This window comes from Homo sapiens, chromosome 1 (genome assembly GCF_000001405.40).
Source record: "Homo sapiens chromosome 1, GRCh38.p14 Primary Assembly".
NCBI lineage: Eukaryota > Metazoa > Chordata > Mammalia > Primates > Hominidae > Homo > Homo sapiens.
The window spans coordinates 110,652,693-110,679,997 of record NC_000001.11 but is presented as its reverse complement, the minus strand read 5'-3'; the positions used below and the strand labels follow the sequence as shown (position 1 = coordinate 110,679,997).

At 38.4% G+C, this 27,305-nt stretch overlaps 1 protein-coding gene across 3 annotated transcripts, besides 3 other annotated features; it reads left to right on the top strand.

Moving 5' to 3' along the window:
* Positions 4,933 to 4,992: a silencer, noted in NCBI's record as "silent region_1178". NCBI's record gives its function as "represses an Ori minimal core promoter by ATAC-STARR-seq in GM12878 lymphoblastoid cells {active_cell/tissue: GM12878}" and the evidence as "EXISTENCE:reporter gene assay evidence [ECO:0000049][PMID:35858748]".
* Positions 5,058 to 26,438, top strand: KCNA3 (potassium voltage-gated channel subfamily A member 3). Of its 3 annotated transcripts, none has more exons than NR_109845.2 (3): positions 6,544 to 6,761; positions 11,654 to 11,775; positions 20,412 to 26,426. NR_109845.2 is itself a non-coding variant. In NM_002232.5 (1 exon), exon 1 carries the CDS (start codon positions 5,189 to 5,191, stop codon positions 6,914 to 6,916), a length of 1,728 nt encoding a protein of 575 aa, NP_002223.3. In that variant the 5' UTR covers positions 5,058 to 5,188; the 3' UTR covers positions 6,917 to 7,533. The 3 variants fall into 3 exon arrangements, 1 of the variants encoding a protein (NP_002223.3); NR_109846.1 differs by lacking the exon at positions 6,544 to 6,761 and adding an exon at positions 8,223 to 8,522 and having other exon boundaries at positions 11,657 to 11,775; positions 20,412 to 26,438; NM_002232.5 differs by lacking the exons at positions 11,654 to 11,775; positions 20,412 to 26,426 and having other exon boundaries at positions 5,058 to 7,533.
* Positions 5,063 to 5,112: a silencer, noted in NCBI's record as "silent region_1177". NCBI's record gives its function as "represses an Ori minimal core promoter by ATAC-STARR-seq in GM12878 lymphoblastoid cells {active_cell/tissue: GM12878}" and the evidence as "EXISTENCE:reporter gene assay evidence [ECO:0000049][PMID:35858748]".
* Positions 5,223 to 5,322: a silencer, noted in NCBI's record as "silent region_1176". NCBI's record gives its function as "represses an Ori minimal core promoter by ATAC-STARR-seq in GM12878 lymphoblastoid cells {active_cell/tissue: GM12878}" and the evidence as "EXISTENCE:reporter gene assay evidence [ECO:0000049][PMID:35858748]".
* Positions 26,439 to 27,305: the final 867 nt, after the last annotated feature.

The window sequence follows — 27,305 nt, the reverse complement described above, 5'->3', positions numbered from 1 at the left end:
AACGAAATGAAGAAAAATAAAGGAGATAAGAGACTAGAGAGTTACCAAACGGAGGCGGGGAAGGATTGCTATTTGAATTAGTGTGGTTGTGGTCAGGGAAGGCAACTTCCCTGAAGCTGACAGTTTTAATGGAGACCTAAAGTGATGGAGAGAGCCAAAAAAAAAAAAAAAAAACTGGAGGAAGAGTGTTGCAGGCAGAGGGAAGGGCAAGTATGAAGACCCTGAGAGCAGAACTCATTTAGTATAACTGAGAAACAGCCAGGCATCCAGCTTGGCTAGAATAGACAAAATAGTCACAAGTAACATTTCTAGTACTCTTGTCATGTATTGTTAATAAATAGCATTGTAAAAATTTTCATGGATTTATATCCTATCTTTTCAACAGCATGTAAGCCCAATGAGGGCATGATCTATGTTTAAACTTCATATCCCCACAGTATCTAGAACAATGCTGTGCACATACTAGGTGCTCTTTTTTCTATTATTATTATACTTTAAGTTCTAGGATACATGTGCAGAACATGCAGGTTACATAGGTATACATGTGCCATGGTGGTTTGCTGCACCCATCAACCCATCATCTACATTACATATTTCTCCTAATGCTATCCCTTCCCTACTCCCCCACCCCCTGACAGGCCCCAGTGTATGATGTTCCCCTCCTTGTGTCCATGTGTTCTCATTGTTCAATTCCTACTTATGAGTGAGAACATGTGGTGTTTGGTTTTCTGTCCCTGTGTTAGTTTGCTGAGAATGATGGTTTCCAGCATCATCCATGTCCCTGCAAAGGGCATGAACTCATCCTTTTTTATGGCTGCATAGTGTTCCATGGTGTATATGTGCCACATTTTCTTTATCCAGTCTATCATTGATGGGCATTTGGGTTGGTTCCAAATCTTTGCTATCGTAAATAGTGCTGCAATAAACATACATGTGCATGTGTCTTTGTAGTAGAATGATTTATAATCCATTGGGTATATACCCTGTAATGGTATTGCTGGGTCAAATGGTATTTCTGGTTCTAGATCCTTGAGGAATCGCCACACTGTCGTCCACAATGGCTGAACTAATTTGCATTCCATGCTCATGGATAGGAAGAATCAATATCGTGAAAATGGCCATACTGCCCAAAGTAATTTATAGATTCAATGCTATCCCCATCAAGCTACCCCTGACTTTCTTCACAGAATTATAAAAAACTACTTTAAATTTCATATGGAACCAAAAAAGAGCCCATATAGCCAAGACAATACTAAGCAAAAGAACAAAGCTGGAGGCATCACACTACCTGACCTCAAACTATACTACAAGGCTACAGTAACCAAAAGAGCATGGTACTGGTACCAAAACAGATATATAGACCAATGGAACAGAACAGAACAGAGGCCTCAGAAATAACACCACACATCTACAACCATCTGATCTTTGACAAACCTTACAAAAACAAGCAATAAGGAAAGACTCCCCTATTTAATAAATGGGAAAACTGGCTAGCCATATGCAGAAAACTGAAACTGGACCCCTTCCTTATACAGTATACAAAAATTAACTCAAGATGGATTAAAGACTTAAACGTAAAACCTAAAACCATAAAAACCCTAGAAGAAAACCTAGGCAATACCATTTAGGACATAGGCATGGGCAAAGACTGCATGAGTAAAAGCAATGCGAACAAAAGCCAAAATTGACAAATGGGGCCTAATTAAACTAAAGAGCTTCTGCACAGCAAAAGAAACTATCATCAGAGTGAACAGACAACCTACAGAATGGGAGAAAATTTTTGCCATCTATCCATCTGACAAAGGGTTAATATCCAGAATCTACAAGGAACTTAAACAAATTTACAAGAAAAAAACAATCCCATCAAAAAGCGGGTGAAGGATATGAACAGACACTTCTCAAAAGAAGACATTTATGCAGCCAACAAACATGAAAAAAAGCTCACCATCACTGGTCATTAGAGAAATGCAAATCAAAACCACAATGAGATACCATCTCATGCCAGTTAGAATGGCGATCATTAAAAAGTCAGAAAACAACAGATGCTGGAGAGGATGTGGAGAAATAGGAACGCTTTTACACTGTTACTAGGTGCTATTTCTCCATTCATTTATCTGTAATTGTGGATCAGGACCTCTAGCCCTGCCTTGTCCCACTCTCAAACACTTCTGAGCTAATCCTAAATGCTGCTTACCATCTGGCAAACAACTGGTGAACTATTTCTGGGATTGATGTGGTCAGTAGGAAACACAAACTATGCCTAGAGCAACACAGAAAGGCCAAACACCAAGATTTATTTACCCTTGCTGTTTGCAAACCTGACGGTTTTAGTCAGGCTCTAGTATTGCAGACTGAAATATGAGGAAATCCTGCACATGCTCAGAGAAGCTGTTGGCTTTGCCACAGTTCTACGCCTAAACGTTATAATAATATTATTATTATCCCACAGGGGTGTTATGAGGATTAATGAGACATTTTCAAATCACTTTGAGCTACTCTGTTGGGGGTACTAAATAAATGCTATGTTTTCCTCTTGAAATGCCATTTTTGGCATTGATTTGTTGTGATGGGTTCGGCTGTCCAACAGGGCTAGAATGAGCCCACCAACTCATTTTCTATAGACAACAGACGAGCCGTCAGAAGGAGTGGTTTTCAGTTAAGATAAATATGAATTGAAGTGAACTAGTCGGCAATCAGAAGCAAATAGGCTGCTGTTAGAAATCTAGTATATTAAGTACTCACAGTGATCAACACAAGCGTTGCACAGTGTGATACAGTAAAGCAAACACTGGATTTGGAAATGGTCCAAGATTTTAGGCCCAGCTCTGCTGCTAACTAGCTATGTGAGCTTAAGCAAATTGCTAAACTTCTCTGGGCCCCAAATACAAAGTAAGGACTTTATATGTGTCCTAAGAAGCACATAATCAAAGTCTTCCAGACAAGGCAAATACATGAAAGGGAATGGAAATAGTCACTTATGAAGGAAAGACATTTCACAGCTGGGAGAAGCTTGTGACCATTTGTCACAGGACTATCCTCTGCTCTGGTCTTCCTTGCCATTGATTAATATTAATTTCAGTACTAATTCCTGCAAAAGAAGGAATAAATCATTTTCTAAGTCAGACATAGAAGTACATGAAACATCTGGTCTTTAAAAATAGGGTCTTTGCCTTTCCATGAGCTATCATTGCAGCAAGCAGTCTGTCTCATTCTAAGATTTAAATATATGAATGATTGATTATACTGCTACTCTAATCACCAGCTCAAAATATATACGCAAAATAATGAGGTGGCTGTCACATTCCAGTGTTCTGGAGTTTTGTAAGAGAAAGAGTTTTACGTGGTTGCCCAGTTTTGCCATTCCACAACATAAGTGACTGCCTGCATTGTCTGGCACTGACCAGGAGGTGAAACGGAAGATGAAGGGACAATAAAAGGACATGGGTGCCTGTTGTGCCCAGGAGAGCCGGAGGTGGAAATCCTATGGAATAAATGAGCAGTGTTTTCTATGGTGAGCTCAGTTTTTCCTCACTCCTCATCCTAGGAATCACAGCAGCATCTTGGGCTCAAAAAGAAGAAATGTTGAAACTCCAGAGCAGATAGCAACGCAAAGAGACACTCCTTGGGGAATTCAATCTGACAAGTATGTACCAAGTCTCCACCATTTACAAGGCACTTTGGTAGTTGCTAGAAATATAAGTTGGCTAGGACCTACTCTGTGCCCTAGAGAACCCCATGGTTGGGAGTGGTGGTGGGAAGTATTGACCACAAATCACTTACTTAAAATTGAATTGTCAGCTAACTTTGGGTGGGTGAGGAGCTGTCTAGACAATAGTTCCTCTTCTGTAAATGATTTGAATGATACAATAAAAAACAGACTTTTTAAAGCCTAGGGTTGAGTTATATTAGATTGCTAAAATTTCTGGAAACAAATTGTGTTCAAAGTAACCACAATAATTTGGAAAAATAAGTTTAAAGAAGATACATGTAAGTTATCTCTGGGCCCAGATCAAGCAAGAGGTACAAGTTGCAGAATGAATGTCCTTCCAGTTTAACAACTAGAGCGCTGCAAATTCCCTACCACAAGGGCAGTGCCAAAATATTAAGTAAAAAGTCTAGGTACAGGTCCTGCTCTCATCCCTTCCACGACAGGCTTGAGTCATAAAGCTGGACTTTCTAACCACACAACTTCGACTTCGTGAATTTCCTTTCCCATTTTTCCTCTTATTTCCCCGCCAACAGGAAACCTGTGTAGTGGATAAAGACCAGGCTGTCACTGCTAATCCCAATCAGAAACTTGGTCCTTGATTCTTCCCAGTGGCCGACATCTCCGCTGCGAAAACGGGTGTGAACTATTCACTAAAGCAGCAGGGCCCGAACGCCTTTAACAATCCATTTCCTTCGGACTCCGTTTGCGAAGCCCATCAGCACCCATTACTCCCTTTGGCTTCGCATCCTAGCAGAAGCTAAATTGTTTAAACCCCCGCTCCTCCCCAGGGTTTGGCGGTCCTCGACCCTCAAGGGAACCTGGGATGCCGGCGCCAGGCTTGCCTCTGGCCCAGGGCGCCCGCCTGGCCTGCACTCCCTCCCTGGACACTGGGCCCGCCTGCCCTCCCCGGGCTGTACCTAGGGGTGTGGAGGCCAGGGGGCCGGCGCCCGCGGGGCCGCGGCGGGAGCTCTCCCGGCCCACGGGCCGAAAACCCTGGCGACTGGGACGCGGCCAGGCGGGCCGGGGGCGAGGGGCGCTGACCAGAAGCGGGCGGAGCCTAGGGGCCCGGGCCGGCAGCCTGACTCCCCGTGGGCCGGCTCTGCTGGGTGGGCATTCCCGCGGGGCGCCGAGGTACAACATGAGGGCTCTTTCGCTGACACCGAGGGGCCTTGAGGGCTGCAAGAAATGCAGGCCCGGCGGCTGCCCCCGAGAGCGGGACGCGCGCCCGCGCGGTGGGCGGGAATCCTAAGGGGACGCGGAGGCGGGCGCGCGCCCCGCAGGGGAGGGGGCGGAGAGCGCGAGAAGGAGGGAGGAGGCGTCCCCGTGCGGGAGCCCGGCTGACCGCGCCAGACCCAGACAGAGCATCGCGGCTTTGGCTGCAACAGGCGGTGGGCTCGGCTCGGGGGCGGAGGCGGCGAAAGGGCGGGGAGCGCGAGGAGGAGCGACCTGGCCTCACCGCTGCCGCCTCTTCCCCGCCGCATGGACGAGCGCCTCAGCCTTCTGCGCTCGCCGCCGCCGCCCTCAGCCCGCCACCGCGCCCACCCTCCTCAGCGCCCAGCGAGCAGCGGCGGTGCCCACACGCTGGTGAACCACGGCTACGCGGAGCCCGCCGCAGGCCGCGAGCTGCCGCCCGACATGACCGTGGTGCCCGGGGACCACCTGCTGGAGCCGGAGGTGGCCGATGGTGGAGGGGCCCCGCCTCAAGGCGGCTGTGGCGGCGGCGGCTGCGACCGCTACGAGCCGCTGCCGCCCTCACTGCCGGCCGCGGGCGAGCAGGACTGCTGCGGGGAGCGCGTGGTCATCAACATCTCCGGGCTGCGCTTCGAGACGCAGCTGAAGACCCTTTGCCAGTTCCCCGAGACGCTGCTGGGCGACCCCAAGCGGCGCATGAGGTACTTCGACCCGCTCCGCAACGAGTACTTCTTCGACCGCAACCGGCCCAGCTTCGACGCCATCCTCTACTACTATCAGTCCGGGGGCCGCATCCGCCGGCCGGTCAACGTGCCCATCGACATTTTCTCCGAGGAGATCCGCTTCTACCAGCTGGGCGAGGAGGCCATGGAGAAGTTCCGCGAGGACGAGGGCTTCCTGCGGGAGGAGGAGCGGCCCTTGCCCCGCCGCGACTTCCAGCGCCAGGTGTGGCTGCTCTTCGAGTACCCCGAGAGCTCCGGGCCGGCCCGGGGCATCGCCATCGTGTCCGTGCTGGTCATCCTCATCTCCATTGTCATCTTCTGCCTGGAGACGCTGCCGGAGTTCCGCGACGAGAAGGACTACCCCGCCTCGACGTCGCAGGACTCATTCGAAGCAGCCGGCAACAGCACGTCGGGGTCCCGCGCAGGAGCCTCCAGCTTCTCCGATCCCTTCTTCGTGGTGGAGACGCTGTGCATCATCTGGTTCTCCTTCGAACTGCTGGTGCGGTTCTTCGCTTGTCCTAGCAAAGCCACCTTCTCGCGAAACATCATGAACCTGATCGACATTGTGGCCATCATTCCTTATTTTATCACTCTGGGTACCGAGCTGGCCGAACGACAGGGCAATGGACAGCAGGCCATGTCTCTGGCCATCCTGAGGGTCATCCGCCTGGTAAGGGTCTTCCGCATCTTCAAGCTGTCGCGCCACTCCAAGGGGCTGCAGATCCTCGGGCAAACGCTGAAGGCGTCCATGCGGGAGCTGGGATTGCTCATCTTCTTCCTCTTTATTGGGGTCATCCTTTTCTCCAGCGCGGTCTACTTTGCCGAGGCAGACGACCCCACTTCAGGTTTCAGCAGCATCCCGGATGCCTTCTGGTGGGCAGTGGTAACCATGACAACAGTGGGTTACGGCGATATGCACCCAGTGACCATAGGGGGCAAGATTGTGGGATCTCTCTGTGCCATCGCCGGTGTCTTGACCATCGCATTGCCAGTTCCCGTGATTGTTTCCAACTTCAATTACTTCTACCACCGGGAGACAGAAGGGGAAGAGCAATCCCAGTACATGCACGTGGGAAGTTGCCAGCACCTCTCCTCTTCAGCCGAGGAGCTCCGAAAAGCAAGGAGTAACTCGACTCTGAGTAAGTCGGAGTATATGGTGATCGAAGAGGGGGGTATGAACCATAGCGCTTTCCCCCAGACCCCTTTCAAAACGGGCAATTCCACTGCCACCTGCACCACGAACAATAATCCCAACTCTTGTGTCAACATCAAAAAGATATTCACCGATGTTTAATATGTGATACAAGTGACATGCTGTGCTCAGTATTGTGTGGAACGTGCCCCCTTGGTCTGCCTATGCCCTTGTTTTATACATTTCCAGACCATTCATCAAGGAAAGGACCTGAAGAAGTGGAAAGCACACTTCATTCTCCCTCTCCCTGCTGCTTCATACTGAAACAGGTGCCTGTTTTGCAAGTGGGCTGCATTCTCTCAGCTCTCCTTTTCCCTCTTACCCTCTCTCTCTTAACATTGTAAACAACAGACTTACGTTAAACTTCATTTCTAGTACACGCCCTATTTAAAAAAGAGCAGTACATCCTGGGAGGAAATGAAACTAAAGAACAGTTAGAGTAACTGTTTAACCTCAGAATTTTAAAGGCAGTTGTTTCTTTCCTAAGCACATCAATTCGTAGTAAATGATGCTTCGGTTTGATGGACCTTTCAACGTTATTTATTGAATATGTATTTCGGTTGCCTACCCTGTAGATATGTGGATGAAGAGTCTAACTAGAATAATGACTTGTAAACCCACCATGAGTTATTTGGTTTTTGACTTAAATTCCTATTTGAATCCCCTTTCCCGGAATTTTAAGTGTCTCTACAACTTTGAATAAAGGGAAATGCCCAAGATGTCCTGATCTGACTAATTAGTTTAATTCTTTCGGGCTTGCTAAGCATTTCTAAAGCATTAGACTAACAGATTCCTGTGAAGTTCTGTGCATATGTCCCAGCCCCAACAACTATCAAAGTCTAGAAACAGATGTTTTCAGTGTTGCTGAGAGAAACAAAAAATTTCCTAATGCATCTGAGAGATAAGCTTCGGCAGTATCACAAGAAGATTAAAGTGGCAGACACCCCTTCCAGCGGAAGTTACTAATTCGGACCTGACTGATGCAGTTTCCATAGCAACCCATGTTTCCTGGGAAACCCGAAAAAGGTTGTCATGGCATCTCTTGCTCTCTAGCCCCACCTCCCAGCCCCTGCCGTTTCCACAGTAACCTTTCCAGATGGTTCCTACTTAAATGATTTCATAAGGAAAACCACTGTTTGAATAAGCCGCACAAAAAATAAAGTTAAGTCTGAGACTCTAAGGAGGTGAAATGAATCCCAAATGCATTTTTTAACTATGAAAATCATTATGTCATTCCATAATGACTGAATCAAGGAGGAAAATATGGTGTTTGGAATGTTAGATATTAACCACAATAAGGCATGATCTGGATTAAATGCCATTTATTAGGCAATAATTTTTAAAGATGCTTCTCTACAGTTTTCTTTCTCCAAGAACTTTCAAGCCAACAAATGAAATTTAAAAGCAAATGTAAAAGTGTTCTGTACATAAGCAAATGAGAGATTCGATCAGTGTGCCTGAAACCTTACTACAAGGGACCTTCAGGCTTTCTCTTTAAAAAAAAAAATACAGATCCCACAACAGCTCTGTCATCATCACAGCACTTGACAAGCTAAATAAACTTCAAATAAATAAAGGATGCACGTTTAAAACTGAGTGAATTGCAGACAATCAATTAAAAGGAGGGACAGGAAGTAACCAGATCTTGGGAGAACACCTGCAAGTTTCAGCCATATGCCAAGGGTTGCCAGAAGACAGACAGAATCAGGTGAGCACTCTGTGATCTACTGGGAGCAGTCCCTTTTGTTATCCAGAGCCAGGGAACTGTCATTCATGTATAGACTGATGGTATTTGCCAAACCAACAGTTTTATCTTAGTTACATGCTTGGTGTCTTTTTAAAAATAATTTACACCTTTCTCATTTGATTTCCATGTTGCTAACTGTCGTTTAGTTTCCATTGTTTATTACAAAAGGATGAAAAAACAGTCATTGCTCTTCAGAATAACCTTCACTCAAGCCAAACTGAAAATTATTCCGTTCCTTTTACTAACCCACTTGGCCTCCAAGCAACCTGTTTCCCTTTAAAAAGGATAAATGGCAGAATCTACTGCTGTTAGATTATTGGTCCAATTTTAATTTACATAATTATTTAATAGTATGCAGTGGTACAGTTCTTTGAAACAAAAAAGGGTTAAAAATAAGAGTAACATTTTATTTAAACATAATCATTCTGTTTCATATACATTATATAAATTATACATTATCTACAGTTGTTTTTTGGTTTTAATAGCATATAACTATTCTATCCTTCCAGAGTAAATGAGAGTAACCCTATTTTTAAAGCCCATGAAGTATTTTCAGTTAGGAGTACATTTATAATGCATGCATTGAAGAGAGAGGAAAATAGTGATTGAGACTATAAGAGAGAGCTGAGGAAGGAAAAGACCAAACAAATAGAGGCAAGAAATCTAAATATACCTGGTCATAGATTTGTTGTTTGTTTTTTATCATATATTTGTTTTTATCTATGTATATCTAAGTAGGACTTCATTATCTAGTTTTCTTTGCTTTTTGTTTGAGTTAACCTTTGACATTGATCTACCTCTTGACCAAACGTTTGGTACCCTTAATGACCAGAAATTATTTTTATGACACATTTTGATAATATGTTAGATACATTGTAACAATTACATTAAAATAATTTTTGTATCTGTTCTTAACATAGAGATGGAGGAAGTGCAATGACAATTTTATTCACATTTATTCAGGAGATGTAGAAACCTTGATTAGTTCTATAAGTAAATTATGGTTGTGCCATAATTCTTATGGTTATTAAATGGCAGTAATTTAAAGGGGGCCTTTGTTCTTTAATCCAGAGAAATATCCTGGCTTTTGACTCATAACTTTGAGGTAATATGATTGCTTGTAGTCACCACATTGTAAGTTCCCTAAAGGATATAAGCTCTGTGTCTTGAAGGTTTTAGGTACTAGTGCCTAGCACAGAATGTGGCACCTTTTATATTTGTTGAGTGAATGGCTGTTATCTTACATAAATGTTATTTCCAGGCTTTTAATAAAGTGGTTAAAAGCATAAGCTCTGCAGTCATATTTCCAGGATTTGAGTCCTGACTCTGGTATATGATCTTGAACAAATTACTTAACCTCTCTGTGCCTCAGTTTCTTTGTTTGTAAAATGAGGGTGATAAACAGTACCTCACAGGTTTATTGTGAATAGTAAATGTTAATACAGGTAGAACACTTAGAAAAAATAATTCCATGACACGGCATCAGAGATTTTGCTAAGAGATTATATTGTGATCATCACTCACAAGCACTGTATAATTAATACAATGTTTTGTGAATATGAAATACACAAGTAATCAGTGTCTTCCTATTTCCTTTCTATTATAAGAATAATAATTACCATTTATTAAGAGTCAACCATGTCCTGGACACTTGTCAACTCCGCAAGGTAAGTGCTATTAACCTCATTTTAGGAGGGCATAAAATAGATGCTTAAAGTTAAGTGATTTCCCTAAGACTTCACAGCTAGCAGGAGACTCAGTTATGATTTAAAGCCAGGTTATTCTGGCTCTGAAACCCATGCTACTTTTATTAGGTGACTTGAAAGACAAATCTCTTATGCTTTTAGACTTGGCTTCAGCCTATGTCACTAATTAATGAGTTCATGTAGATAACATATCTCCAGAAACCTATTTCATTTCAGTATACTGAAAATTAACCTGCTTAAAATAAGCAGGTATTTTAACCAAATATAAGCATCAAATATAAGTTATTTAAATAAGATGAAGAGATTGACTTTTCTAATAACAAAAGATTATTTTCTTATAGTTGGTTTATCTAGATTTAATCTTAGAAAGTATAACCAGTCATAGTAGTGTTTAGTGATAACTGCTATGACAATGGATATTTTTCAGTTTCAAGATTTTTCTGTTTTCATGTGTTTTAATCAACAATAGATGATAGCATTATGCAAATTAGTTTTCTATCTCCTTATGCTTTGCTTCATTTACTGAAGAACCATACCAGAAAGTCATGTAAATATTTTGACTCTCCCTTATTAAGAGGGAAGAAATTATTCAGAACAGAAGTATTAAAAGCAGAATGAGATTGCCAGTTCACTGAAACTTGTGACATTATTGCCTTACCTAACCACTCCATGGATCTTTAAGGGCATCTGTGCTCTAAAGAAATTAAAATAAAATTTTTCCTACATAATAGCTGCAGACCCTTCTCTCAGTTCTTAAATCATTTATGAAATGAAAATGGATAATGATTTGGGCTTAGAGCAAAATTCTAATGAGCCTACGTTTGCACATGCCAGCTGGCTTTGCCAAACTACAACCTTCACTGTTGAGCTCAGTTGCACGTCTTATGTGTTGAAGAAATATACGGATGTCTGTGTATAGCAAGAGATTCATGTGAGGAGGTGTGACTGGATCAGTGCACACCCATCAACACCCTGGGGAAAAATGTATATGCCTTACAGCTGATGAATCCAGATAGAAACATGGAAGTTAACATTGTTATTGTTTTATTTCTTTTATGATGTTTTAAAATGACATGATACACCAACTGTGGTGACATAACCACAGACACCTACGCATAGGAGGAAGCATTATGTCAGTTATTTCTAAACTTTGAAATAAAATTTCAGTATTGAAATTTAAATGCACAGTATGAAGACATTTAAAGTTATGGTTTGTTGGCATAAAACTTGTTATTTACCTTTTTGGCGTATAATATACTCAAGTATTTGTTTTGCTATAGTATATAAAGACAATGTATATAATATATACTAGTAGTCTGTTCCTTTGAGTACCATAACTATAACTTATTGACTTCTATACATTTAAAATTTCAACATTTTCTACAGCAGTTCCAAGTCCTTCCCACCTCTCAGCTGTGAATAGAAGTGATAACCCTTCCCACTAAGAAATGCAAAGAAGCACACGTGCCCCATAATCTGAAGACTTATGGAAACACTGTGAGATAGAGGTGAGGAGCATAAGAATGTGGAAGAGGATATTTAGGGCTGCATTTTTACAGTGGGAGCTTTTTCTTTGTGTTTTGTTTTAGGCCTTTTAAACTAAGGAGGATACAATTATTGGTTTTTGTACTATTCCGTATGGGTTTGGGGGCAATTCTATATATATTAATGAAATCACTTGTTTTTATATACCTTTAGGAAGTGGTTGATAACCTTTGAGAGAAAGTACATCAAAGGAGGCAGGAAAAAGGGAGTAGAAGCCAATCAGAGCCCAGACCTTACTATTGTGACTCAGCTCTTAGCTTTCTGCCAGAAAATGGCCATTGCTATATAGCATATGATAATAGTATTCTTTATGTACTCATATTCAGTTTGCAAGTATAATTTAAATGATTCAGACTGGTTAGAAAACTTTCAGATGTTTGTCTTGATTTTTAATGATGTCGTGAGCTAATTTTCAAAATTGTGAAGAAAATACATTTTAAAAAGAAACGTTTTCATGATTTTACTGGGTTCTTTTGTACCAGATGTGTGTTTTCTTCTGTTTTAAAATTTGCACCATTAGCCATCAAATGCATATTAAGAAGAGATCTGGGAAAGAGCCTCCATCATTTTCTTGGGATCCATGTTGTTATTGTTGTAACCTAAATAGAGTGAAATAGGAACTCTGCCCTGTAAAGTAAAGCCTGGAATTCTGGTTGCTAGCAATATAACACTTAAATGGAGAAAAAAATGATATTTCATCCTATCTAAAGAATGTTATGAATAAATTTGTTCATGCAAGACTCTGACTTTGCAGATACAGGGGTCATACCTTCCAGTATGGTGATAGTGATTGGGGAGAAGCTTTTTCTCTTACAGTGAGCTTCCAACCTCACACCCACTCCTAATATCATAGCACAAAGGCTCTTGGGAATCTCTATGGAGGCCCCTACCCACTTTTTAGAATGAAAGTTAGCATCATGCCTACATGTTTTATATCAGACAGCACTGTTATTTCATTTGTCTTCCATTACATTTATTTTAAACTTCTGTTCATTATAGAAGTCCCTCTGAATCCTAAGGTTCTTATTTTTATACATTTAAACATGTTCTTTACATTAAAACATAATTAATTTGGAAGAGAAGCAGTGGGGACAATTTATTACACACACACACACACCCCTCACCTGTTCATAGATTACTTCCTATCCTGCAGTACATTTACTTTCTGTCTATATTTCTAAATGGTGTCATTTTTTTCTGAAAATTAGTGAATTTCCAAAATATTGGTTTTCATTCTGTATGTGCAGCATAAATATTTACAAATCATTTTTCTTTTTTTCCAGCCTTACTTAAAATGCAGGTTTATTGCCTAGTGTTCTCAATGTATTTATTAATGAAATAACATTCACTGAAATAGTAAATATACTCAACCTATCACCAAATTTTGTCATTTAGCCTCCCAAATATCTCTAAAAACAGCCCACTTTACTGTGGCACTGCCAGGACCACTGTAATCCACACTGTCATCTCTATCCTACATTAAGTGTGAAGGTCTCTTAATGGCATCCTCACATTTCTTGTGGCCAGTCTGACCCTTTCTCTTCCTGGTAGCCAGAATGATCTTTTTGAGACCAAAATCCGATTATATAACCCACCCCTACTTAAAATTCTTTCAGGGTCTTCTTGTTTTTAGGATAGAGGCTCAAAGGCTTAGCATAGCTTTTATGGCCCCACATGATCTCATATCTAGCCTTACCTCCTCTTTGCTTATATTTCTCCCTTCCTTCTTTTGTGCTCCAGTCACCCTGGTCTTCTTCCAGTTACAGGATAAGCTCCCTTTCCACCTTAAGCTAATGGGGATCTTTGCAAATATTTCACTGCCAGCCTCCTCTTTCTCTCCTCACCTCTTGACTTCTATTTTTACTTCAATACTCCTCCAAGGCATCTCTCATGACTCTGGTTTTTTCAATTCCCCTATTATAGTATAGTAGTTCATTAAATTTAAGATGCCCTTGATTATAAGAAATACTATTACTTATGTGCTATTTTTTACAAGATTTCCAATTGTAAGGATAAAGTACCAGTGATTTTAAGGTGCATCCCAATTTCATAGATGCTCAAATCTAAAAATGTAGGTCTTAGAATGCATTAAATATAGTATGTTATCTTGACATAGCTGTAATTTTATATTTATTTGTGTTATATGATTAATTTCTGTTTCTTCCATGAGAGTGGGGACTATCTCTCCCTTTGTTCACCACTGAATCCCTTCCCACTCTCTCCTGAGTCTGCTCCAAAAGGCTCTCACCCCGCTATCATTCCACCAAAAGTGTACTTGGCAAGGTCACTGGTAACCTCATATAACGATACCCAGTGGTCATTTCTCAGTTCTCATTTCAATTTGACCTATCAGAAGCATTTGGTATGGTCAGCTACCTCTTCCTAAGAAGACTGTCTTCATTTGACTTCCAAGATACCACACTGTGGATTTTCTTTCTACCTCTCTGGCCTCTCCTTCTTAATCTTATTTACTGGTTCTTTCTCATCTCTTCGTTCTTCATTCTGTCTTATTCTCATAGCTTTAAATTATCTGTGTATGTAAATTTGTATCTCCCAGCTAGATCTCTCCCCTGAGCTCCTGACTGAATTTCCACCTGCCTACGTGACGTCTCCACTTGGATATCTAATAGACATCTCAAACCTAATATATCCAAAACTGAGCTTCCGTCCTTCTCCCCTCTCTAGCCCATCAAGCCTGTACTTCCTGCCCTCTTCCCCACCTCCACTACTGGCAGCTTCAATTTTCCAGTTGCTCAAAGTAAAATCCTTGGAATTATCCTTGATTCTTCTTTTTCTCTTACACCCCTTATTTAGTCCACTGTGTTGACACTTCTAAAATGTTTCAAACGCCTTACCACTTCATACCACTTCTACTGCTACCACTTGATCTAAACCATCGTTATCTTCACCTGAATTTTTACAGTAGCCTCCCGATTGGTCCTCCAGTTTCCATCCTTCCTCTTATTTGAGTCTATTCTCAACATAACCAGAGTGATTCTTTAAAAACATTTATCAAGTTATATTACATCTTTGTGTCAAGACCACCATTTGGCACCCCATTTCACACAGAGTACTAACTAAAGGCTTTTTTACAATGGCCTGCAAGGCCCTGTCTCATTTTGCCCTCCTTACCCTTTTGACCTAATTTCCAACTCCTCTCCCACTTGATCCTGTGCTGCAGCCACACTGGCCACCTTGATCTTCTTCAAATACACCAGGCATGCTCCACCTTGGGGTCTTTGTATTTATTGTTCTCCCTGCCTGGGATGTTCTGGCATCTGATAGCTGCGTGGCTGCCTCCATCACCTCCTTCAGGTGCAACTTTCACATTGAAGCCTTCCCTAGCCACACTATCTAAAATTGCAACCTCACAACACTCTCTATATCCTTTCTCTTCTTATTTTTCCCTCTAATGTATTAGGTATTTTATTTATTTTGTTTATTGTATGTTTTCCATTCCCTTCCATGAGGACAAGGAGTTTTGTCTGCTCAGTATGCTGTATCACCCAAGACCTGGCATAGTACCTGAAATACAGTTGGTGCCCAATAAATATCTATTGGAAGGAGAGATGAGAGGAAGGAAATTGCCTTCCAATTTGAGGTGTTTTAACCTATAAACAAAATTTTCATGTCATGCATCTATGCTTCATTTAATCACTATGTGGCTTACACTCCTCATCATGCTCTGAAGGACAAAATTCCTTGTAATCAGTTCACTGGAGAAGGCTTGCATTTGCGAAAACATGCTCCAGCAAGTTTTCCACAAGAAATATTACACCACCCAATTATGGGGATGCAATCCTTTAATGTAAGTAACTTAACTGTTACCTTATATGAGATATCATTGAGGGTACCTAGTCACTAAGGATACCTGGAAGTTAGAATGCTTCACAAAGACCATGTTTTTTCATACGTAATAGCTGATAGAGTGCTTTTAATCAATGATAACATAAACATGTTGACTAATTGACCAGGACAGCACAGCAAAATCAGAACGAACAAGTAATATCTACAAAAGGCTTATCTATCTAGCAGACATTCTAAGAAACTTCCCTATAAGTTCAGTCTCAGTTTCAGTTAATGATGAGTCCTGAAAATCCATGGAGTCTTCATTACTATGGAAGCTGATTGAATCAAACATTAGATTTCACTAGTGAATCACATTACAGAATTACATCACTGTAGATATGGCCTGACTATCTTTTGCAAAATGCAATTAACATTACATTTTAAAATTATGACATTTAAAAGTTAGCTATTTTTTAAAATAATAAAAATTAGCTATTTTTTGAAGTGATTGTTCATACATGAAAGCAGATGGGGACATTTAAATCAGTTAATGAAAAGTAAGAGCAGATTTGTAGAGTGACATTTATAAAACGGTCAAACTTAAACTACTTCTAAATAATAAAATGGAAGGTGAAGGCAATCCAGTAGCATTTGGTTCTTAGTATTGGGAGATTCCTAGCGGTATTGAAATACCAACACATATAGTATGGAATGACTGAAACTAACTAAAGCATTGATATGACCACTGCAGATAGTGCCATGATTTTATGTAATATTGTAACCAAGGCACTTTCCTCTGCAGTAGGAAATGAGGCTTCTCCTAATAAGAATAGAGAGGAACTTTCTCCACACCCCTTTTGAATTTTCTCCTTTCCCTGCATTTTCAGGCAAACCAGACCAGAGAATGACTTGACTGTTGCCTCTGCATATCGAAGTGGCACAATTTCCTTACCAAATGTGTCAACAAATTTGAAACTAACATATGTGCCTGAGTTTACATATGTAGACCAGCAGAAATTAGAAACTCTTTCTCCTTACGCCACTTTATGCAGTTAAGCTCACATGGGATAAAGATCATTTTTCTCTTCTGAGAAAAATGTTAGGGATTTTTAAAGAAATGACATAAAATATAGGATTGAAATCTATAGTTTTATTTTTTTCTGGTTTTGGGTGAAGGATTGTGACATTGTTTATTTTTATGATTTAACTCACTATGGGTTTTACTGGATTTTCTATTGTAACTTTGTTTAGTCAAGGTATTAGACATTTAAGAGGCAGCCTTATGTGCCATTACATTTTGTATTTACCTCGTGTCTGACTACAGGGCAATAAAATATCAGATAGTCATGAATACATTTCTTCTATAAGAAATTATTATGAAAAGCTTGTTAAACAAGAGTGACTATGTGTCAGACTTCTAAAGAGCAAAATTAACTGGGTAACCAAAAAGTACAGACAGAAATAACTACTCCAAGCAAGAACTGTTTGAATTGCTTTATACCTAGAGTCTGTAGATCTTTTCCCTGCAGACCTTTTAACTGATTTTAAAAGAGCATTTTATTGTGTGACCATATAAATTGAAGATATTTATTATTAGTAGACCTAAATACGGCTCAAAGTAGTATCAATTATACCTCACAGCTCATTTTCCCATGACTTTCTAGATTTTTTTAAAAGCTCACATCTTAACATATTACTGACTTTAATTACTGAGTGAGATTAAAGGTTTTTGCTTGCTGAGAGTACATAATTTTCAAGACCTCAATCAGAGAATTATATAGAATCGAGTAAGAAATCTTTCTAGTCCTTGAGCTTATTCATTACCATTTACTTGGTAGAACTGGTAAAACTTATTGGTGTGCAGCTAACACTAAGTAATTTAATAGATGTCAAAGTATATAGACACATGAAAACAAAGTTCCCATATAACTACATGCTATAGAATGACTTCAACTCTTTTCTCATCAAATGTAAGTTGATGAGACTAACAGTTAAGTAAGCTAGGTTTCTGTACTTCTTTCATTTAGGCCTTTTGGAGGTATTAATTACTTCTTCATAAATTTGATAATTATTGAAATTTGACTATTCTTATTCTCTTTTCTTGTTCTATATGTTGGAACATTTATTTGGTAAATTATCTTCAATTATAGGTCACTGTTTTCTATTGTACTTCCTTTCTCTCATTTTATAGAATCGATTTTGGGTCCATTCTTCTAAGCCTTTCAACCCACATCTTAACCACTAATATAGACATTCTGAATTTTTTTTTTTTTTTTTTTTTTTTGAGACGGAGTCTCGCTCTGTCACCCAGGCTGGAGTGCAGTGGCACCGTCTCGGCTCACTGCAAGTTTTGCCTCCCGGGTTCACGCAATTCTTCTGCCTCAGCCTCCCGGGTAGCTGTGACTACAGGCGCCCGCCACCACGCCTGGCTAATTTTTTTTTTTGTATTTTTAGTAGAGACGGGGTTTCACCCTGTTAGCCAAGATGGTCTCGATCTCCTGACCTCGTGATCCGCCCGCGTTGGCCTCCCAAAAGTGCTGGGATTATAGGCGTGAGCCACCGCGCCCGGCTGACATTATGATGATTATCCTGATATCACTTTTATTTTTGTTTCGTTGAATTACCACCCCCTCCACACCTATACTTTATTAGGATGCCATGCTTATACCATTCTTATTTAATAATCTCAAGAGCCTTGAGAGGCAGGTATTAATACATGAGGTTGTTTTTTAAGGCCCACCGTTTTATATAAAAAGAATGTAACAGCAGCAAGACAAGAATAGCTTAATGCAGACTTCTCAAGGTAAGCAAAGCTGCAGTAGCATTGAGCAGAACCTAGGCACTTAGGAAATAAAATGGATGCTAGGTCATTCATGTTACTTGTGATTTCTTATGATTAGTAGTCATTAATAACTATTAGACCATTATAACTTTAAAACTCTGATAGTGAAAATTAAGCATACTGTGAACGTACTCTTTCTTTTTGCCTAAAATCAGCGTTAAGACTTTTAAAATCACTGATGAGCAGTGATCTGTCTGCGAGATCAAGGTGACCGAGTGTATAATCCAGGCCAATAAGAAAAAAATTTCAATAGATAGTTAATTGATTGCCCAGCACACAGTAGGCATACAGTATTTAATTTAGCAAGTGAATGATTCTTCCATCAAAAGCACACTCAAATTCCAGATCACCATCTTTGGGCATTTACCACTGGTTTTGGGCGCCTGCTAAAACCAGGAGTATATATGGGAAATAGTCTTCTCTACATATTGTGATGGATGATATTCACATATTCAAACCCAGAGCTGGGTTTATAGCATCTGGGTTTATAGCTGGGTTTATTTTTGTCTTTATAATTTCTGTCTTTATATTATATAGTTAGTAAATTTCTAGAATACATAAATCTAATTTTTATATATCCATTTATGTATTCAACATGTATTTACTGAGTACCTCCTATGTGTCAGACACTACCCAGGGTGATAGAGATTTATTCATTAATTCAGCATATAAAGTGTCTACTATATGCCAAACACTATTCTAGATTCTGGATGTAGGAAGTGAATAAGTCTATTGTATTGCTTTATCCTCTTCTTAAGAAATATTTTGCTATCAGAATTTCTCAATAATTATTTTGGCAGTTAAGGAAGGGAAGCACCAAATCTTTAACCTTTATTTCTTGTCCTGGTCAAGTGGTTATTATTGTCTTAATTTGGGAAATTTTAAAATGGTACATAACTGTGCAGAGTTCATATTTTAAAGAATCAACAGACTTAAAAGTTATTTATAATGAAGAGATAAATGATAGGAATGTCATCCTATTAGCACATAGAACATGGTTTTCTCAGCACTTATTTGGTGTCTTGTCTCTCTCTCTCTCTCTCTTTTTCTCTCCATGACACTTAGCGTTGGATTTTTATTCACTTCAAGAGTTCTCATCATAGATTACCACAGTAAGATGGGCAGCCAGGAAAAAAAATCCTTGGAAATACACTGAGAAAATTAACACATACATTTTTCTAAAAATCAATAGGCACTCAGAACCTTTCGATGATTCTAAGGCTGAAGATAAATTTTGTGTCCAAAAGCAAACTATCACACTGGTTTGGACTAAATTTCAAGATCATTATTAGTAGAAAAATGTCTATAATTTCAGCATACTCCAAAACGTTTTCTAACTTACAAATTAAAAGAAATATGTAGTTAATACATTTAGACAATTAAATTGCTTGAGGTTTTCAGGGTAACAGTTTTTAAAAAGCAACATTTAAAAAATATATAATGAATGGAACATTTTCTGTTTTTTTAAAAAATTATACTTTAACTTCTAGGTTACATGTGCACAACATGCAGGTTTGATACATAGGTATACATGTGTCATGTTGGTTTGCTGCACCCATCAACTTGTCATTTACATTAGGTATTTCTCCTAACGCTATCCCTTCCCTAGCCCCCCAGCCCCCCACCCCCCAACAGGCAGATGTTCTCTGCCTTGTGTCCGAGTGATCTCATTGTTCAATTCCCACCTGTAAGTGAGAACATGCGGTGTTTGGTTTTCTGTCCTTGTGATAGTTTGCCGAGAATGATGGTTTCCAGCTTTATCCATGTCCCTCCAAAGGACATGAACTCATCCTTTTTTATGGCTGCATAGTATTCCATGGTGTATATATGCCACCTTTTCTTAATCCAGTCTATCATTGGGGACATTTGGGCTGGTTCATGAATGGAACATTTTCTATTGACATAAAGTCTATAGTTTTTTAAAAGTTAAATATACCAGTAAATTATTGTGTTTACTCTGTCTGACAGATCCCTGAAGAGCCCCCCATATAAAGAACTGTAGAGCTGCACTGACCAGTAGGATGCTCCATTTTAAATTGCCTGGATCAAGAATGCAGTAGCAGTTATATCACTGATGGGCAGTGATCCATCTGCCAGCACATATTTTTATTTCAGTTGACATTAAATAATATGTCTCTAACAAATGCTTTATATAAAGGGAACAACTCTGAAGTTGGAGGATTCGCTTCATAATGCGTGCATATAAAAGACATTTCATCAAGAGATGAAGAATGCTAAAAATATTAAGGTATCATTGCAACCTTTTGACATTTTGATGAAATCGAATCATCCAAAAACTATAATCAGTGCTGCAGAAAGAAAGCCTAAAATTTGTTTCTAGCAAGCCAACTATTACTGTTTTTTGTGTTTTTTTTTTCAATTAAGTAGTGGACTGTGTTTAATCATGAGATATAGTCGTGTTATATTCCATGTTCTGGGTTATGTGCAACTTTATTTGTGAAGGTGTGTTTTGTACCAAAGGCTCTCATACATAGATTAGCCCATTTACATATAAATAAGTGAAGTCTACACTGTGCCCAAATGAATGGTATTAAAGACAGACTTGCCTAAAAGAAATGTGCCTTGCTTGATTAAACATTCTTTTATTTTTTAATCAAAATGATAAATTTGCAAATTAGCCTTATAGGTTTTAGCTGAGCTGAACTTGACAAAAATGTGTTAGTACTTACTACATGTTTTAATATTCTATCTTAATTAAAATTGTAACATTTAGTTATACTTTCAACAGTTCATATATAATATATTCATTTAATTTTGTTTTCATGGGATGTTTGGTGTGGTGAGACAAAGCACATTCTTAAAGATATATATAATATTTCATCTAATGTTTATAGCTTTTCCTTCAAAATTATATATGTAAAAGTTTCCTTAACTCATTTTCTATTTTTATATTCTTTTAGAAATGGAACTCTTTTTCAATTAAAAAAAAGTTTTAGTTGGAAAAGAGATTTAGGAGGTCATGAAGATGGCTTCCCATTTGGGGACATTTCACTTCTGTGCCATTAATGTATTTACTGTGACATTTCAGCAGAATGGTAGCTATTTGTATATTATTTCATAAGCCTTATGGAAAGTCAAACTGTGAAAATTTATTATATAGAACCCTTTTTTATTTCCATATTTTAGTTTCAAAATATACCTGAACAAATGCATAAATAACCAATCCTCTGTTATTTAAATATATAACCATGCTATGTTATAATAAGAGCACTTGTAGAATTTTAGTAACTATAAAAATATTTCAGTAGCAAAGCCAAGATTATAAATGTTTTGATCCCCTACAGAATGGAGTAAAAGTGATGAATTGCATTGTATGAGAATCAGTAACTAAAACAATCTTATACCTGCAGCGAAACAGATAGATAAATAAGAGATACAATCTAGGTAACTTTCTTTGAGGCAAAGTCTACAATGAATGTCTCACAATCTGCTGGTAATTTCTTTGTGTCAAAATTTTGAGACTAGATCACTACAGGAAAAAATGAAAGTCTAACAGCTATCTCAGATTTGAGCTATGTGAACTTTTAGTCAAGATGATTTGTGATTAAAGTGAAAATTTAGCCACTGCCTTGTCTTTGTTCTATGTTAGCCCATTTAGTAGAGATATGGGCCTGGAGAATAGTCAGTCCATTGCAGCAAACATAATCCTTATAACTAATTATCACAGCCTGGGTAACAGTAAAGTAATGCACATTAGCTACTGGGATGATTGAAACAAACTGATCAACTGTGTTACAGGAGGTCTTAGATATTCAGATGTTTTAGTAAGGATCAGTAGGTGTTACAAAAATAGACACAAAAACTACCTTTATAAAACACGAATGAAACAACTGTATGCATTATAGTATATTTAATATCTGAATTATTATTACAGGTTACAGTTTCAAATAAAGACAAAACCTGGATTTTTGTGATAAAAGCACAGGATGGTGTCAGATGAGTAAACTGTTATACTGAATATGATTCACAGAAAGGATAGTAAAAATGCTACTGGTTTAGATAACAGTAGACCAGAATATTTATTCACTTTCTACCTGTGGGACCTTAGGTAAATCTGTTACATTACTAGGCTTCAGTTTGCAGGCTTGAATTGCAAGATGGGCGTGCTGGATTCAATGATCTCCAAAGCCCTTACCAGTCCCCAAATTCTCATTATACACATTTGAGAAATGCTTTGAAGAAAACAGGGCCGGGTGCGGTGGCTCATGCCTGTAATCCTAGCACTTTCGGAGGCCAAGGCAGGTGGATCACAAGGTGTCAGGAGTTCGAGACCAGCCTGGCCAACATAGTGAAACCCCAACTCCACTAAAAATACAAAAATTAGCTGGGCATGGTGATACATGCCTGTAGTCCCAGCTACTGCTGAGGCTGAGGCAGGAGAACCGCTTGAACCCAGGAGGTGGAGGTTGCGGTGAGCCAAGATCATGCCACTGCACTCCAGCTTGGGCAACAGAGTGAGACTTTCTCTCAAAAAAAAAAAAAAAAAAAGAAAACTTAAGTACCCAGATTTTCTTATGCAGGAAAGAAACATGAAGTAAGATTTAAGCCTTGAAAGTATCATAAATATATCATTCTTCAAATTGATTGTGATGAAAGGAAATAGGATTCTTTCTCCTTAGAATTTTCACTGATCTATAATGGGATCAAAAAAGTAGAAAAATCAGTCTGCAGAATGAAAACAGATTAATGAAATAGCTAGAAAGGAGGGGAGAGCATTTGTTTAGTTAAATGTTAAGGTAACTTGAAAATTGTCTATGAAATGCTAAAACTGTACCAGAGCCTTATTGCACACTCAACATTTTAAGCCTGGGAGCAGGGGAAGGTGGGAAAAGGTTGGAGTGATAGAAGTGTTTGCCTTATGATCTCTTGACTCCTTTTACACAAGAAGCAGATTGGTAGAGCTTAAGCAGGTGTCTGTGCTGTGGTGCTGGCTCTGCCAAAAACTCTCATATGCCCTAGGAAAGTTCCTTTAACTTCTCTGAGCCCGAGTTTATCTGTAAAGTGAAGACTTTTTAAATTTAGTAATCTGTATGTCTCATCTCTGAGAATTCTATAATGTTTTCACATTGTTATATGTGTATATGTACATGTTGCTCCCCTCTAGTCACTAAGATGCCACATATTTCTACTTGAGTGAACAGATTGCAAGTCCAAATGTTCTTGTTTCTAATACTAATAATTGATCTCAGCAAGACATAAAAAAGTAAAAAAAAAAGTAATCTTACCTTTTATTTTGACCTTGGCTTTAAATTATTATGATTTATCATTTCATCTTTGAATGCTGAGTGAATTACCTAAACAGAATGTCTGTTCCAGTTAATCTTCTCTTTAAATTTTTGTAGTTTAATAAACATGTAACAAATCAGAAGCAAGTATATCATGCTTATCGATGAACTGTAGCAGATTGTAATGGTGCATTTTTGTCACATTAAAAAGTTAATGTCCTTTTGGTCCCAGAAGCAATTACTATAATTTAAAATAATATTCACAAAATTTTGTGAATGTTTTTGAATACAAAGGAGGCCTAATACAGCCATATTGTAGTTCATTTTGCTCAGGAGTGAGAAACAAAATTCAGGGATAACCCAAACATGTCTGTTTGGCAATAGTGGATAGTTAGGTAAAGAAGGGTTATAGCTTTTGCACATCACAGATAAGAGGCGACTATACCTATTGAAAAACAGCAGTATATTCTGGTTCTTGGTTTTATGATGGAAAGATATTAGAATGATACTAAAATTTGGATGCTTGGGAAATTGAATAATACAGAAATATTTTGTCATACTGAGATTATTTGTCCAGAAGTTTAGTCTTATATCCCTTCCATTCAGAAAAGGGGGCAGTTTTTAAAGGCCTCTGTCATAAAAGGAAATGTATATTTTGACTAGTGGAGCAATTAGTTAAAACATTTAATCTGATCATTTTGGTTTTATGAATCTGAATTTTCACTTTAGGTGTAATTGAGTCGCTTATGTATTACTGTGATCTTTGTGAGAAGTGATTTCGTCCATTTTTTTAAATCTGATGAAACTTGATAAATGGTGATTCTAGCATATTGTGTTAATACTGTATCTTACAACAATTTGTGAACTGACCATCATAAACGAATCATAGTAGTATCTCTTCTGGTAAGTTGTTTCTATATGTGATCTCTTAATGCTGGGTTTGGGGGTGGGGATGGGGTTAAGTATTTAGTTTACTTTAAACTGTCAAAGTGTTTTTCTTAAATGCCATAAAATTGTATGACTATAAGCCAAATAAGAATATTCTCTTTTTTCACTTTTAAGGGCACTGTATAGACCATTTTTGAAACTATCCCACAGAATGGTATAATTTCAGTTTAAAAGCTCTTACACACATACACACACACAAATATAAATATATATATATACACATTCAAGGGAAAGCAAACAGTGTATGTAGTATTTCTAAGTGACATGCTACACGTTATAAGAATCTATTTTTGAAATCTTATACAGATTATGCAGAAGTCAGAATAACAAATACAACACCTCAATTTTTTTATAGAGTCTAGCGTTAGTTTACTATAAGATTTGCTTACATCATACTTGCAAAGATCATTCACATAATTTATTTAGCATTGAAAATCTTTATATGAAGTACTAATGTCATCTGAAGTTTAGAGATTAAACAACCAAGGTTTAGAAAGATCAAATGACTAGTCCAAGATAATATGGCCAATAAATGGCTCTAAACCTCCTATGTTCTTTATACTATTCACTTTTTGTCATGTTATTTTTATCCTGTCACTGCCATTATCTTTAAAACTTTGACAAAAATTTAATTTTAAAAGTTACATTGGGAATTTTCAGATTTTAGTGCAAAGACATTGTTGCTGTTCTTGTCAGACCTTTTCAGATACCTCCAGACTATAGCCCTTCCACAGGGTGATATTCAAACATTTTCCACCTAAACATATAAGTTTGCACACCCTGACCACAGACACTGAATTCACTTGATGTCAGAATGCTAGACTAAAAGTTGATCTTCTTGACTGACATTTCTAATCTCCCTTTTTAAAAATCCATCATAAGGACTGACTTCTGAACAGTTGAATAAAGCAGTAATCAATCCAAGAAACTGCATCCATTCTGATTCAGAGGAAAAAAAAATCCAACCTAGTGACCATTTTTCAGCATACTGTATTTCATCACATTTATTCTGTGATTAGTGGAGGACAGAGAAGAGGGACTGGGGAGAAAAACTGCCTTTATTTTAAGAAAGCTCATTTTCCTGTAACTATTCAAAAAGAATTGATTATCAAGTGTTAGATAACAATATTACTAACATTTATCATCATTCAAATATTTAGTAAAATTTCTCCATATATTTAAAATTTTACTTAAGAATTTTCCCAGTTAAAATATGACTGCTTAGTTTGAATAAGGAAGACATTCCTTTCAATTCATGACACAATAGTACATTTTTATTCTTTTCTCAGACAGCAGAGAGACACTGTTACTGCTTTCCCTTGTAAGTCAACAGTCTGTGATACATGCTGTACTTTTACTGATTAGCAATGCAATGTTACTGTGAATATTTAACTAGAACTTATTATATTGGAATTTAAAATTTTCTAACATTGAATTTAGTTCTCTTCATCAAATAAGCAAGCATTATTTTTATGAAATGAAATAATCATTCTTAAGCAGTGATGATAATGGAATTCTGAATACGATGTAAAATCAAACATTCTATTTTTTCTGTTTATCCTTTGACATTGAGTTGTTTTAATTTATTACATATTATTAAGTTGAAATAAGCTTTATACCATGTTCTCTGATGTTCTTGTCATAATAATTTTGGGTCTTTTGTTAAGTAAATATCAGAAAATATCTGTGAGTTTTGATTATGTGATATTTTCATCTGATTGATTTTTTAAATTTCTCATTGGATTTAAAGTGTTTTCTTTGCTAATGTTATATACAGAATTCAATAAAAGACCAAAAAAAATCCTGTTGCGCATATTACTAATTAGTTCCAAATGACTTCCTTCCCCTTCTTTCCTTTCTTCCTTCCTCCCTTCCTTTCTTTCCTTGTTTTCTTTTTGCAAAAGAGGAAACATCAAAAGCTGGGCTGTTGTCAGTAGCTCAAACATCAGCTGCCTTTGAGACCAGCTCTGCAGGCTCTTGTGTATTCTCCCACATGACTATAGTGAAGACTTCTGTGTATTACACTTAGCAGGCCTTTTGAATGCCAACATTCCCTAGGTTTCTTCCATTGCTCCCTGTCTTACACTGTTGGAGGCCCAGTAAAGTCTCAAGGAAGAAAAAACTTATTCACAATAGTCTGTGCCTTTATGCGTTGTGCTAGTTATATGAGTAAATTATGGCACAGCAAATGTACATTATTTCATTCACAAATAAGTATTGGACATCCATTGTGTGCATGACCCTGTTCACAGCACTGTCAGGGGGGTATGAATGTTAATATGTAGGTGACCCTGCTCTCAGATATATGCGTGCACATATATATATACATATGTATATATACACGTGTGTGTGTGTATATATGTGTGGAGATACACACACACACACACACACACACACACACACACACACACACACATATTCCCAAGCTAGTAGGTTAGGATCCTCTTTAGATCCAGAATGGTCAAATATTAAGAACATTTTGTTTTCAATATTTATTTTCCATGTATGCCCAGTGTTTTTGTATCATAAGAGGATAATTTCTAGCATTCACATTTTACATACCAATTGTTCTCATTTTGTGCTTAACAATATTGATCCTTACTCTTTTTCTTTTTCCTAATAATAGCTAGTTACTCAAACGTGTTTTTACTTTTGGAATGTCAACAAA